The sequence below is a fragment of the Homo sapiens genome, chromosome X (genome assembly GCF_000001405.40).
Source record: "Homo sapiens chromosome X, GRCh38.p14 Primary Assembly".
Classification (NCBI taxonomy): domain Eukaryota; kingdom Metazoa; phylum Chordata; class Mammalia; order Primates; family Hominidae; genus Homo; species Homo sapiens.
In genome coordinates this window covers 124971965-124985058 of record NC_000023.11, presented here as the reverse complement: position 1 = coordinate 124985058, position 13094 = coordinate 124971965, and the positions used below count along the sequence as shown (strand labels likewise).

Below are 13094 nucleotides of genomic sequence, written 5' to 3'. Positions count from 1 at the left end.
GACGAAAGGGTCAGAGTTAGTTACTTCGGACATTTTTAACCTTTGATATTTGAAACAAACACCAAATAGGACTCAGTGAACAAGAAAATTCAAGAAATACCAATTCTTGTTTAGCAACTTGAAGCCAGAAGCTTCTCCAGCACTCCTACAATGTTGGCAGAGTGGGAAGGAGCCCTAGCTTTGTATCAGTGAAACCTATTAGAGGAATTTTATATATAAGGACATGAATACTACAATTAATAGGAAATTCCAAATTCTTATTCTATTCAATAGTGTTAATCACATGTTCCAGCTACCAGTGATATAACACTGATTCTATCCAAGGCTGAGGAGGAGAGAGAATTTATCATTGTTAGCTTCTATCTAGAAATGAGCTCAATTCTCTTCACTTAATGTTAAATCCACAGAAGCCATTCCATAAAGATTTAGGCCAATTCTGTCTCTGCCCTGAAGGTCAAAGAATCAGGCTCAGTAAGAACTCAACCCCATAAAATCAGTGATTGCTGGAATCACTTTGACTTTGGGAGAACAAAGGAAAGCACTCTCCAGTCAGAAGATATCTTCCTTAATGGTCTACTATGGGACCTAAAAGTTCAAAACTAAAAATTAATACCTTTAGACAAAGACGCTGAATTTCCAGATGACCTCTGTAAAAAATTAACTTGTTCTGGGAGAGATAACCCGTTTCGTCCCAATTAGTCATTAATCATTAATCATCTTGAATAAAGTGTTGACAGGTAGACATCTAGAAAAGACATGAGAGAAAAGGATGTAGACAGATCAAGTAACCTTGGATGAAAGAGAAGAATAGATTTGGAGTGGTAATAAAGGGAAGGCACTATACTAGAATATTTTATTCAGTCTGGAAGCAACAAGAAGCCACTGATAATTCTGAAGAGGTAAGAGAAAGGGATTTCTTGTATGTGTATGTATATGCGTGCACACACATGCATACATGCATGATTGTGAGAGAGACTGAAGGTGGTGATATCAGACAAAACCTTTTCTGGTTATTGGTTATAACCTATGATAATTAGTAAATTATTATTGAATAGCATTGTTATTTACTTTTTATTATTGGAAATTCCTTCTTTTATTTTAATGTGATTATATATCTGTCCTTCAAATCTTCATATCACTTATTGCCCGGGCACAGTGGTTCATGCTTGTAATCTTTGGGAGGCGGAGGCAGGCAGATCACTTGAGGACAGGAGTTCGAGACCAGCCTGGCCAACATAGCGAAACCCCGTCTCTACTAAAAATACAAAAAATTAGCTGGGCATGGTGGCACATGCCTGTAATCCCAGCTACTCAGGAGGCTGAGGCACAAGAATTGCTTTAGCCTGGGAGACTGAGGTTGCAGTGAACCCAGATTATACCACTGCACTCCAGCCTGGGTGACAGAGCAAGACTCTGTCTCAAAAAACAAACAACAACAAAAAAACTTCATATCACTTCTTGCATACACTATCCTTTTGTCAAAATTTTGTTACGGTTTCAGGAGTCTGATTCAGTGAGGGCCTATTATGTGTTGGCCAAGTTTGGGTTGGTCACTTTCTCTACCAGATCAACTTATTCATGATTCAAGAAATGTGTCTATATATGGTATACTTCAAGCAGCGTGCTAGTCACTTTATTTACTTCCAAGATATATGGAATTAAGTAAGCTACTTATTCTCTCTAAGCCTCTGTTTTCTCACCAACAATAGGAAGAAGAGGATGATAATGTTAATGATCGCAACAATGGCAGCGAACAATGAGGAAGTGAGTGCTTATTGTGTGCTCCACACTAGAGTAGGAACTTAACATAGATTACTTTAAAATAGTATGTGTATTTCTTTTTCATTGCAATGTTAGAATGTGTTCATTGTCTAAAAAAAAAAGACAGTAAAAAGAGAACAATAAAAAAACTACCTTTAGTGCCACCATCTAATAATCTACCTAAGAATTCTACTATCTGACCATTGTTAATACTTTGGTGATATATGTACTTTCAAACTTTTTGCTACAAAAGACATACAACATGTGTTTTTGTTAATTCTCACATCAACATTGCAAGGTAGATATTGTTATTCTAGAAGAGGAAACATGAGGTTAAGTGAATGGAGGAACTGGTAGTAGAACCGAGCTCACTCTGGACTCAAAAGATTTCTCCAATATTCTGCTTCTCATTCTTCTGTAATAGAAGTGTTTAGGGACTGATACTCCTTTTAGCCAACTAAACATCTGCAATTAGAATGAAGTAAAAAATATTTCTTCCCTCATACAAACCAACTTCCTAGTAGGAGTCATTGGCATGTAAGGCAAGATTTACTAAATGAATAAGATTGAGAATATCAACTGGAGGACCAAGTCATCTGAAATGACAGTGATATTTCTAAAATAAAAGGCCCATGTCTCTCACAAAGTTCACCTCTCACTTAAATATGAGGTTTTCATTCTAAGTTAGTATTTTTCCTGAGAGTGTCTATTGAGCTGGTAGCAAAGGTTCTTGTAGCAGCAAAGTAAATTTTATATCATTAAAAATCTACAGAGATGTCTTCTTCAAATACCCCATGGTGCCCTGCTCTCTGGCATCTCCCTTCCCTGCTGGATAAGAGGTAGACACTCTTGCGAAGATTAGATCTTTTGGGCTAAACTAGGGTCAGCTGGAGGGGTTGGTTTACAACCCCCTAGGGTAAAAAGTGCAAAGATATTATTCTGCATAGGAGAACTTAGTTGCTTTTGTGGAACATTTTTAGTTCACTTGGTTGCTTCCTGTTTTTGCTTTTTTTTTTTTTTTTTTTTTCACATTTTCTTTTATGTATTAAGATGCATAGTGGAGTCTAATTTCAAAAACTACTTAGTACATTTTTTTAGAGTTAACTCTGGAAAAGTTAGCACGTAGATGCACAACACTTTACCTTTTCGGGCAATACTTCCATTGTTTTACACGTAGAGAAAATGGGCTTCTAATGAGAGAGAGAAGCTTAAAGAAAAAAAAATGCTTAAAATGGTATGAACCCAGTATTCACCTTAGACAAAATCACGCTACCACACGCTGCTATGTCTGGGGCAGACATTCTCTCATTTCCTGCATTTTTTTTTTTTTTTTTTTTTTTTATTATACTCTAAGTTTTAGGGTACATGTGCACGTTGTGCAGGTTAGTTACATATGTATACATGTGCCATGCTGGTGCGCTGCACCTGTTTTTGCTTTTATTTTCTTTCCCAGAGGTTATTTTCATTCTCTGAAATTATAAAACCATATTCTCCAACCAGGGATAAACCTAAGACTCAATGGCATCTCCACTTTCCCTGGGCTGATAGGGAATCTAGATGACAACCTAGAGTCCTTCTTCACAGTAGATAATCTGGAGAGTTTGTACCCACAAATGGGTCAAACATATTGCATTCAGTGTTCCATTAAGTCATGCCAAGTCCACGCTCCCATGGGTTTAGATTTCAAAAGAAAGGGCTAGGAGGTTGTGCATTTCCTGGCATGGGGTATACCTCTTAGTGGAATGAAAGACACTTTGCAGACAAAAAGCTGGCATGAAACATACCTTTGATTCCACCAACAAGCATGCCATATGTCACAAAATTCTACTGCTTCCTCCCTGTTATTTCATCTGAGTGCCTCTTTCCTGCACATGGCTCTCGGGTGCAGTTAAGTAAAATGGATAGTACATTTAATTGATGTAACTAACTTGAATTCAGTTGGGCTTAAGTTAGTTATTTGATAAATGGGTAGTATCTAGAGTTTGATACTCTTTATGGGAGGCAACATGATATAGTGAAAAGAGTGCCAGAATAGGAGTAATAAAACCGGGGTTTTTGCCCAAGGTCTGCTATTGCCTTGCTTTGTGACCTTTGGCAAATATCTGAGCCTCTGTTTTCTCATCTGAAAGTCAGAGTAATAATATTTTTCTGATCTGCTATGTCAGCGGGGTATCAGGCATATAAATTATAATATTGTGTGTGAAAGTTCAATATTGGAAAAAGTCTAAAGTGCTTTGCAAAGTACAAGGTACTATTAATATATACTTTCTAATGAATGGCTGAATACCACACATCTATATGAACATGGATAGGAAGAACAGAGAGGAAAGTACAAATTTCAAATTTTCCATCCAAAACTTTTATAATTGCTATTTTATGATAAAAAACAATACATCTTCAATGTGGAGAATAGGAAAAATGTAAAGAAAATAAAAATCATTCATAATCACCCAACACAAAGATTATTGCTATTTAAATATTTTGGTGCATTTCTCTTCAGTATTTTTTTTCAAATGATTGGCAATAAGCCCTGTCTGTGAGGGATTTTTCTATTTTTCTGATCACAAATTCTAAACAGTTTATTATAGAGAATTTAATAGAAAGTTAACCCCTTCTTCCTATGAAACTAATATTAACATTTTTTCATTTTTAAATTTAGTTTCATTATTAAATACATAATTTTCATTATTAAATTTATCATATTTTTTATTTAAAATTGTTTTCTAGTGTTTTCCTACATCATCAGATACTATCCAAAACTATTTTAACTTTTTATTTTCTATATTTTAAAATATACAAGTGGCCCTTGGCTTATGACCTTTAAACTTACATTTTTCAGCTTTACAATGGGTTTATCAGGGTATTAAATGCATTTTCGACTTATGGTATTTTTGACAGATGATGGGTTTATCGTGAGTTAACCCCATTATATGTTAAAGAGCATCTGTATACCAAAGTAAAGCACACAATTAGATGAACCCAGCGCTTATCAGTCATATAACTTGGATGATTTTCAACTCATAAACCATATTGCTGCACCTACAAGCCACTCAACTCCCCTTTCTTTCCTCCATGACTTTTTTTTATTATTAAAGATGGGGTCTTGCTATCTTGGCCAGGCTGGTCTCAAACTCCTGGCTTCAAGCGATCCTTCCATCTTGGCATCCCAAAGTGCTAGGATTATAAGTGTGAGCCACCAAGCCCAGCCTCTTCCATGAATTTTTGAAGTAAATCCAAGATATAATTTCATCCATAAAACTTTAGCATGTGATAACAAGGTATAAAAACTTTCTTTAACCTAACTACAATACCATATTGCACATTAAAAATGAACAATAAATCTTTAATATCTTTAGATATCCTGTACATTCCCATTTCCCCAAATGATCTCATAAATATGTGTATAGTATTTTCATTTCTTTGTTGAAATGAAAACCCAAAGAAGATGCACACATTACAATTTGTTAGTATGTCTCTTAAATCTCTTTTATGATCCTCATATTTCCCTTCCTTCTTTTATTTTTTCTTTTCAATTATTTGTTTAAAAACTCGGCCATTTTTTCCTATGGATTTTCTCACATTCTGTATTTTGCTATTTCTATCCCCACTGCATTATTTGATATGTTTCTCCATCTCCAGTACTTCCTGTAAGCTGGCTATGAGACCTAGTTTACTGCTGCCTAATGGAAATACAATCTGAGACCTATATGTAATTTAAAATTTTCTAGAAGTCACATGAAATTAATTTAAAAAATATATTTTACTTAACAGAATATTCAAAATATTATAACAATATATAATCAAAATAAAATTATTAATGAAACATTTTACATTTTTTTACTAAGTCTTTGAAATCTTAAGCAAAAAAATCCCCAATGTATAGCACTTCTATAAAATCCTGCCATTAAAACATCAGTTATTTGGGCAGAACTTCTGACTGTAGTCTAATGAGATAATCTACAATGACCTTCCCCAAAACAATTATGAAGCTCAACGAATTGACAAAAACGACACTTAAGTACCCGGAAATCAACCAAAGGCCTACAACAATCCAAGAAGCATTTGTATTTCAATAAACTATTGGACTGTGGGTAATAAAAGTGGGAATCTATGATGATTAGGCCTGGGACTGCTCATGATCCCCACCTTCAACTCTGAGCTTGGCCAATGCCAAGGTTCTGCTGTGGTGGGGCAGGCTGTAAGAATTGTAGCTGCATTGGCATGGTTGAAAATGGTTCACTTGTGAAGAGGTGAATGATGCCCACACCCAGTGCCATTGTTGGTAGATGTTACAGTCTCAAACTTGGGCCGGTGGGGAAGGCTAGCAGTTCTGCTAACCTGAGGTTGTGGTTGTGACTGGGAAAAGCATGTTTCTGACTGAGGCTGAGCTTATGTGCAGCAGACAATGGAGAACTACCTGAGAGGGCTTAAGCCAGCCACACACTGCTAGTCAACACAGTGGAGACATGAAAAGCCCTGTGGATAATAAAAGCTGCAGGGCAAATATGAAGATGGCATCAACATTGAGTGAGCTCTCATTCCCACACACAGATCCATTGTCGGAGAATAGAACACATACCTGCTCAAGATGGGTGAGCACAACCTCTGCGCAATCATTGACCAGCCACAATGCTACAAGGACACAGGAGTGACCCGTAGGAAACCAGACTTAAAAAGAATGTGACAGAAAAATTGACAAAGGAAATCAGCAGCTACATACCATAGAGTGACATATTTCACAGATATAGCCCAGGCAAGTGACTACATAAAGAAACTAATGGACAAAATGTAACAATAACCTTCAGGGAGAAAAAATCAGAATCCAGAGCTGCTATACTATATTATCTAAAATGTCCAGTTTTCAACATTAAAAAACACTATGATATATGCAAATAAACAGAAGAGTATAACTCATCCTCAGTAAAACCACAAAAAAGTCAATATAAACTGTCGCTGAGTGTCTCCAGCTTTTGCAATTAGCAGACAAATCTTCAAAGCAACTATTATACATATGTTCAGACTAGTAAAATAAACCATCAATAAAGGCTTAATGGAAAGTATGACAAAAATGACCAAATTGTTGATTTTCAAGAAAGAAGTAGAAATTATGAAAAGACTTAACTGGAAATTCTAGGATTCAAAAGTATCATAATTTAAATGAAAAATTCACTAGAGAGACTCAAAAGCAGATCGAATATGGCAAAAGAGACAATCAGCTGACTTGAAGATTGATCTGTAGATATTATCCAATCTGAAAAACAGAGAGGAAAAAGATCTCTCTCTCTCTCTCTCTCTCTCTCTCTCTCTCTCTCTCTCTCTCTCTCTCTCTCACACACACACACACACACACACACACACTAAACAGAGCCTCAAAGATGTGTGGGACAACATCAAGCATATCAACACATGCATAATGTGAGTCCCAGAAGGTGACAGAGAAAGGGGCAGAATAACACAACATGTAAAAAGGAATATATTCAGAAATTTAAAAGGACATGAAATACTGATACACACTACAATATGGATAAACCTCAAGAGCATTGTGAAAGAAGCCAAGTGGAAGAGACCATATATTGTATGACTTAATTTAATTTACAGAAAATGTCCATAACAGGCAGATTCATAGAGACAGAAAGTAGATTAGTGGTCGCCAGGGGTTGGGAAAGAAGGGATATTGGGAATGACTGCTTACTAGATTTAGGAATTATTTTTAGGGTGATGGAAATGTTTCAAATATGGATGGTGGTAACGGTTTCACAACTCTGTAAATGAACCCCGAATCATTGAATTTTACACTTAAAATGGGTGAATTGTATTTATGAAAATTAAACTCAATAATGCTATTTAGAAAAACAAACAGTAAACATATCAACAACAAAAACAAAGCAACAAGTTCAGTAATTTGATCTAGTACTTAGTTATTCTGGTATGGCCCACAACATCTGGCATAAACATTGACTCCCTGAATGATATTTTCTCAAAACAACAGACAGCCTAGTTTTGATACATTTACAATCACAAAAGGTATTAGTAATCATAACTGTATAAAATGCCTTACGGTTTACATGGCCTTTTCATGTGTATTCTTTTATTTGAGTCATCTGCCAGCACTCTGAGGGAGAAAGGGCATTTAATCTTTAGTATGAAAAAGGAAGGGAAGTTAACTGATTTATCCAATGGCATACAGTACGTGACACAATGGGCCCAAGCTCAGACTTCCTGACTCCAAGTTCAATGTCCTTTCTGCTACATTATGCCAACCCTACTCTCTATGGTAGCAACCCATTTGCAATTACATTGTACTATGCCATGTAGGTGAATATGAAAATATGGATATTAGAAGAGGGAATCACAAAGGAGAAAATTACAGTTCTATTTGTGCTATGTTCTTCCTGAATATTTGCTGGTAGGGAGGCTGAGGAAGTCAGCAAATTTCCTGCTTGTGGCCTGGAATGGCGTGGAGATCTGTATCAAACTGATTACACATTGACCCAACAACATCAAGTCAATTCTAGCCCTCTTTCATCTGGTTATGTAGTAAGTGAGAAATAGGGTAGGTAGGGGGAATTGTGTTATAGACTGACACCTAATAACCTTGCAGAGCAGCCATGTCTTCATAGCTTTTCTGGTTTCATTCATAGCATCTTAGGATCTTAGGATGCTATGAATGAAACTGGATATAGATTCCCTTTTTTCTGGGCCTCGTTATGCCATTCTTATCCAAGAAGCTTATTTTCTTTGTTATATAAGCAAGGCCAAATACTTTTTCAGATGCTCTGTAGGATCTAAAGTCTTCTTAGTCTCTTTCCAAACTGCACCTGAAAGTCTTACTTGAGTTTCCTACAGTGATTCCTCCAGCTTCCTTTGAACCTTATTTCAGAGATTCTGTGACTGCCACATAGCAAAGAAATTAAGAGTACAGGCTCTGGAGCCAGAACTTTCGGATTTAAATTCTAGCTCCACTAGCTGTGTGATCTTGGTGAAATTAGTTAACCTCTCTGTGCTTCTGTTTCCTCATCTGTAAAATAAGGAAACATATTATAACATTTTTGAGGATTAAATGTGATTATGGATGAAAGTTGCTTAAAAGAGTACCTGTATCTTCTTTCTAGTTCTTTTAATTTTGATAAAAATAATGATTAGTTATAATTAATATTAACTAAGTATAGTATTAAATAATATTACTAATTATTATTTGTAGTAGTATTTAAGAAAGCTGACAACTTTAACCTATACCAGAAGTTTTCCTCTGGTACTTGTATTTTTTAAAACTTCCAGTCTAATTATTCTCATGTGCTAGCCATGACAACCCTGTGAGATTCATAAAAATAATGATAGTAGGTATTTCCCCACTTTACAGATATGAAATAAAGGAATGCTATTTTGTCATAAAGTTGGGTCTAGAGCTTCCTTTTAGAACCCTTATATACAGATCTTTCTAATACAGTCTGCTGCCTTTGGCATAGTTATCATTTGCCCACCACAGCAAAATATTTGGTACAAGTCCCGACAATCATTGTTAACCTCTGTATCCACCTCTGCGATTAAGTCACTAAAGGGTGTGTATCTTTGTTGAATATGTTATGTTAATTTGATTAGCTCCTTTTCAGTCTAGTCTTTAGCATAATTGAAAATGAGTCTCCAGTAGTAAGCAGTAGAAATGCTACTGCTTCCAGTTGTTATACATGAAACTTGAGGAGGTTACAGATACAGTGTTGATTTCACTAAGCTAATGCTGAAGACGAATGGCAGTAGAAAGCTATGATTAATACTTGCTATTTGGAAACTCTAGAAGAAAGTTATATCTTTGGTTGTATAAGACCATATTTAAAGCCTATTACTTTTCAAGATACTGTATTAAATTTGATATTACATTTTGCATAAGTACTTTAATGCTAAAATTACTATAAAATTTACAAAACCCCAATGGATTTCATTGTAGAAAAATGAATTGAATATGATTGTTTATTTGTGGAAATAAGCAGCTATTGTTCTTCTCTAAAGAGTAAAAAAGCTTTTATACATCGAGTTACCTTCAGTTTCCTTGAAGATTGTTTCCTATATGAAGTGTTTAGGTGATCTACATAATCCACCACAAAGGATATTGAGAAGTAATAAGAAAAAGATAATTTGAAATTACTTTAGAAGGTGCTGGAGTTCCAAAAGAAAGGGTGTGATGGAGATGGATATTACTGCAACTCAGAACTGTATATTATTTGCAAATTACTAAGGGATAGAAATATGCTAGGTATTTACACCGTTACAAAAAATTTCTGCTCCAATGAATTTGAGATATGAACCAGAGTTCCTGGGCCCGCATTTTGGGAGGCACTAAGCTGTTGCCATTTATCTAATGGGATCATATGAAATACTCAATAAATCTTCAAAATTATTTTATATATATATATAGTGTCAGTCCCTGAGAATTTTGTTCAGACGTGTGTGTGTGGTATCTATGGGGTACATTTGGAGTCAAGATTCCCTAAGCAGCAATGGTAAATACTAAATGAGAGTAAGCCTCCAAAATAATTTGTGTTAGAGCTTCTTTATGGAAATCAGTGGCACCACCAACTTTTCCATTCACTAATTTTTTACCTCTCCACTTGTCTCATGTGATCCAACATTGGTGTCCATGAAAAGTTTTGAGGCTTTAACAAAAATAATGAGAAAAATAAAGACACATTCATTCAGAAAAATCAAGAATCTACAAAAAGAGATGTGAGATCATCGCTATTTAATTGTAGAATTAAGCAACTTCCATGTTTCTCTTTTAAAGTGTCCTAAAGAGCCTGCCAAAACACCTTGAGGATATGGACTGCAGGTGTTTTTGCAATTGAGTCAAATCAGTTTTGAAGGAATATTTTTGCAGGATGGACCTTTTATTATTCCATTGTAATAGTTTTAAAATGTTAATAGAACAGGTAGATTAAACAAATACATGTAAACTAATGCCATTGTTATGGTTTGAATGTGTCCTCCAAAGTTTATGTGTTGGAAACTTAATGTCCAAAGTAACAGTGTTGAGAGGTGGGAACTTCAACAGATGAATAGGAAATGAGGGCTCTGCTGCCATCAATGGATTAATGCCATTATGATGAGCGTGGGTTCATTATCAAGAGAGTGGGTCTGTTGTAAAAGCAACTTTGATGCCTTCTTGCTCTCTTATGCTTTCTTGCTTTATTATTATTAGTAGTAGTAGTGGTAGTATTATTATACTTTGAGTTCTGGGATACATGTGCAGAACATTCAGGTTTGCTACATAGGTATACATGTGCCATGGTGGCACCCATCAACTCATCATCTACATCAGGTATTTCCCTCCCCTATTCTCCCACTCCCCCGACAGGTCCCAGTGTGTGATGTTCCCCTCCCTGTGTCCATGTGTTCTCATTGTCCAATTCCCACTTATGAGTGAGAACACGCAGTGTTTGGTTATCTGTTCCTGTGTTAGTTTGCTGAGAATGATGGTTTCCAGCTTCATCCATGTCCCTGCAAAGGACATGAACTCATCCTTTTTTATGATAAGCAACTTCAGCAACGTCTCAGGATACAAAATCAATGTGCAAAAATCACAAGCATTCCTATATGCCAATAATAGAGAGCCAAATCATGAGAGATCTCCCATTCACAATTGCTACAAAGAGAATAAAATACCTAGGAATACAACTTACAAGGGATGTGAAGGACCTCTTCAAGGAGAATTACAAACCACTGCTCAAGGAAATAAGAGAGGACACAAACAAATGGAAAAACATTCCATGCTCATGGATACGAAGAATCAATGTCATGGAAATGGCCATACCGCCCAAAGTAATTTAGAGATTCAGTGCTATCCCCATCAAGCTACCATTGACTTTCTTCACAGAATTAGAAAAAAACTACTTTAAATTTCTTATGGAACCAAAAAAGATCCCGTATAGCCAAGACAATCCTAAGCAAAAAGACAAAACTGGAGGTATCATGCTACCTGACTTCAAACTATACTACAAGGCTACAGTATCCAAAACAGCATGGTACTGGTACCAAAACAAATATATAGACCAATGGAACAGAACAGAGACCTCAGAAATAATGCTACACATCTACAACCATCTGATCTTTGACAAACCTGACAAAAACAAGCAGTGGGGAAACGATTCCCTATTTAATAAATGGTATTGGGAAAACTGGCTAGCCATAGGCAGAAAACTGAAACTGGACCCCTTCCTTACACCTTATACAAAAATTAACTCAAGATGGCTTTCTTGCTTTCCTACCTTCTATCATGAATTGACACAGCAAGAAAGCTCTAACTAGTTGTGTCCCCTTGACCTGGACTTTCCAGTGTCCAGAACTGTAAGAAATAAATCTCTTTTCTTTATAAATTAGCCCGTCTCAGGTATTCTGTTATATCAACACAAAACAAACTAAGATGGCACAAAACAAACTAAGATAGCAGTAAATAATTTCAGTTCAACTCTTGAGTGTTATCTCTTTGACATAATAGAATGTCTATGTACCATGCAAGCAGTCTACTTTGAAAGCCATCATTTTCTGGAGAAGAAGTCCCATATTCAGTACATAAAATTCTCAGCCCATCTCCTAAAAAGTGGTGATTTACTTCTCTTTTTATATACTAAAATGTTATGGCTGTTTCCACGTGAAACCAAAAGAACTGACCAATTCCATGATAAAATCAGACTAGTCCTTTAAGCTTTATATGCTTATGTAAGCTGTCATCACACACAAACTGATGTGTTCTTTTTCAGTGTTAGAATTCAATCAAACTATAATTCATTTTCTGACTAACTAAATGAAGTCAATCAAGCAGCCACTGAATAATTAGACTAACAAATTGTTTTTGGAAAAACTCTTGGTTTTACAAAGTTTTGTCATATTTTTCTAAAGCAACTTGTTTATGTCCAGTTGGTGACCATGTTTTCCTTTTAGAGTAACATTCATCAACAAAAAGAACAAAAATGAAAATGGCAAACAGACTGTGAAAGATAGTTTCAACAAATACTATGCATAAAGGGTTAATATACTTGTTTTATGGCATCAATATGATTTAATTTTTTTTTTTTTCGAGATGGAGTCTTGCTCTGTCACCTAGGCTGAAGTGCAGTGGCACGATCTTGTCTCACTGCAACCTATGCCTCCCAGGTTCAAGCAATTCTCCTGCCTCAGCATCCCGAATAGCTGGGATTACAGGAGCCCACCAAGACACCTGGCTACTTTGTGTATTTTTAGTAGAGACGGGGTTTCACCATGTTGGCCAGGCTGTTCTCATACTCCTGACCTCGTGATCTGCCCGCCTAGGCCTCTCAAAGTGCTGGGATTACAGGCGTTAGCCA

At 36.0% G+C, this 13094-nt stretch overlaps 1 protein-coding gene across 11 annotated transcripts in view; it reads left to right on the top strand.

Annotated features, from left to right (window-relative positions):
- The window catches only part of TENM1 (teneurin transmembrane protein 1), an 828410-nt gene that overhangs the window by 219254 nt on the left and 596062 nt on the right, over positions 1-13094 (top strand). The window contains exon 4 of one of the 11 annotated variants that reach the window (XM_017029209.3): positions 1710-1764. The exons of the other annotated variants lie outside the window; for them this stretch is intronic. The gene's annotated coding sequence lies outside the window, so the exon portion shown is untranslated. The remainder of the gene's footprint in view (positions 1-1709; positions 1765-13094) is intronic. 11 annotated transcript variants of the gene reach the window in all.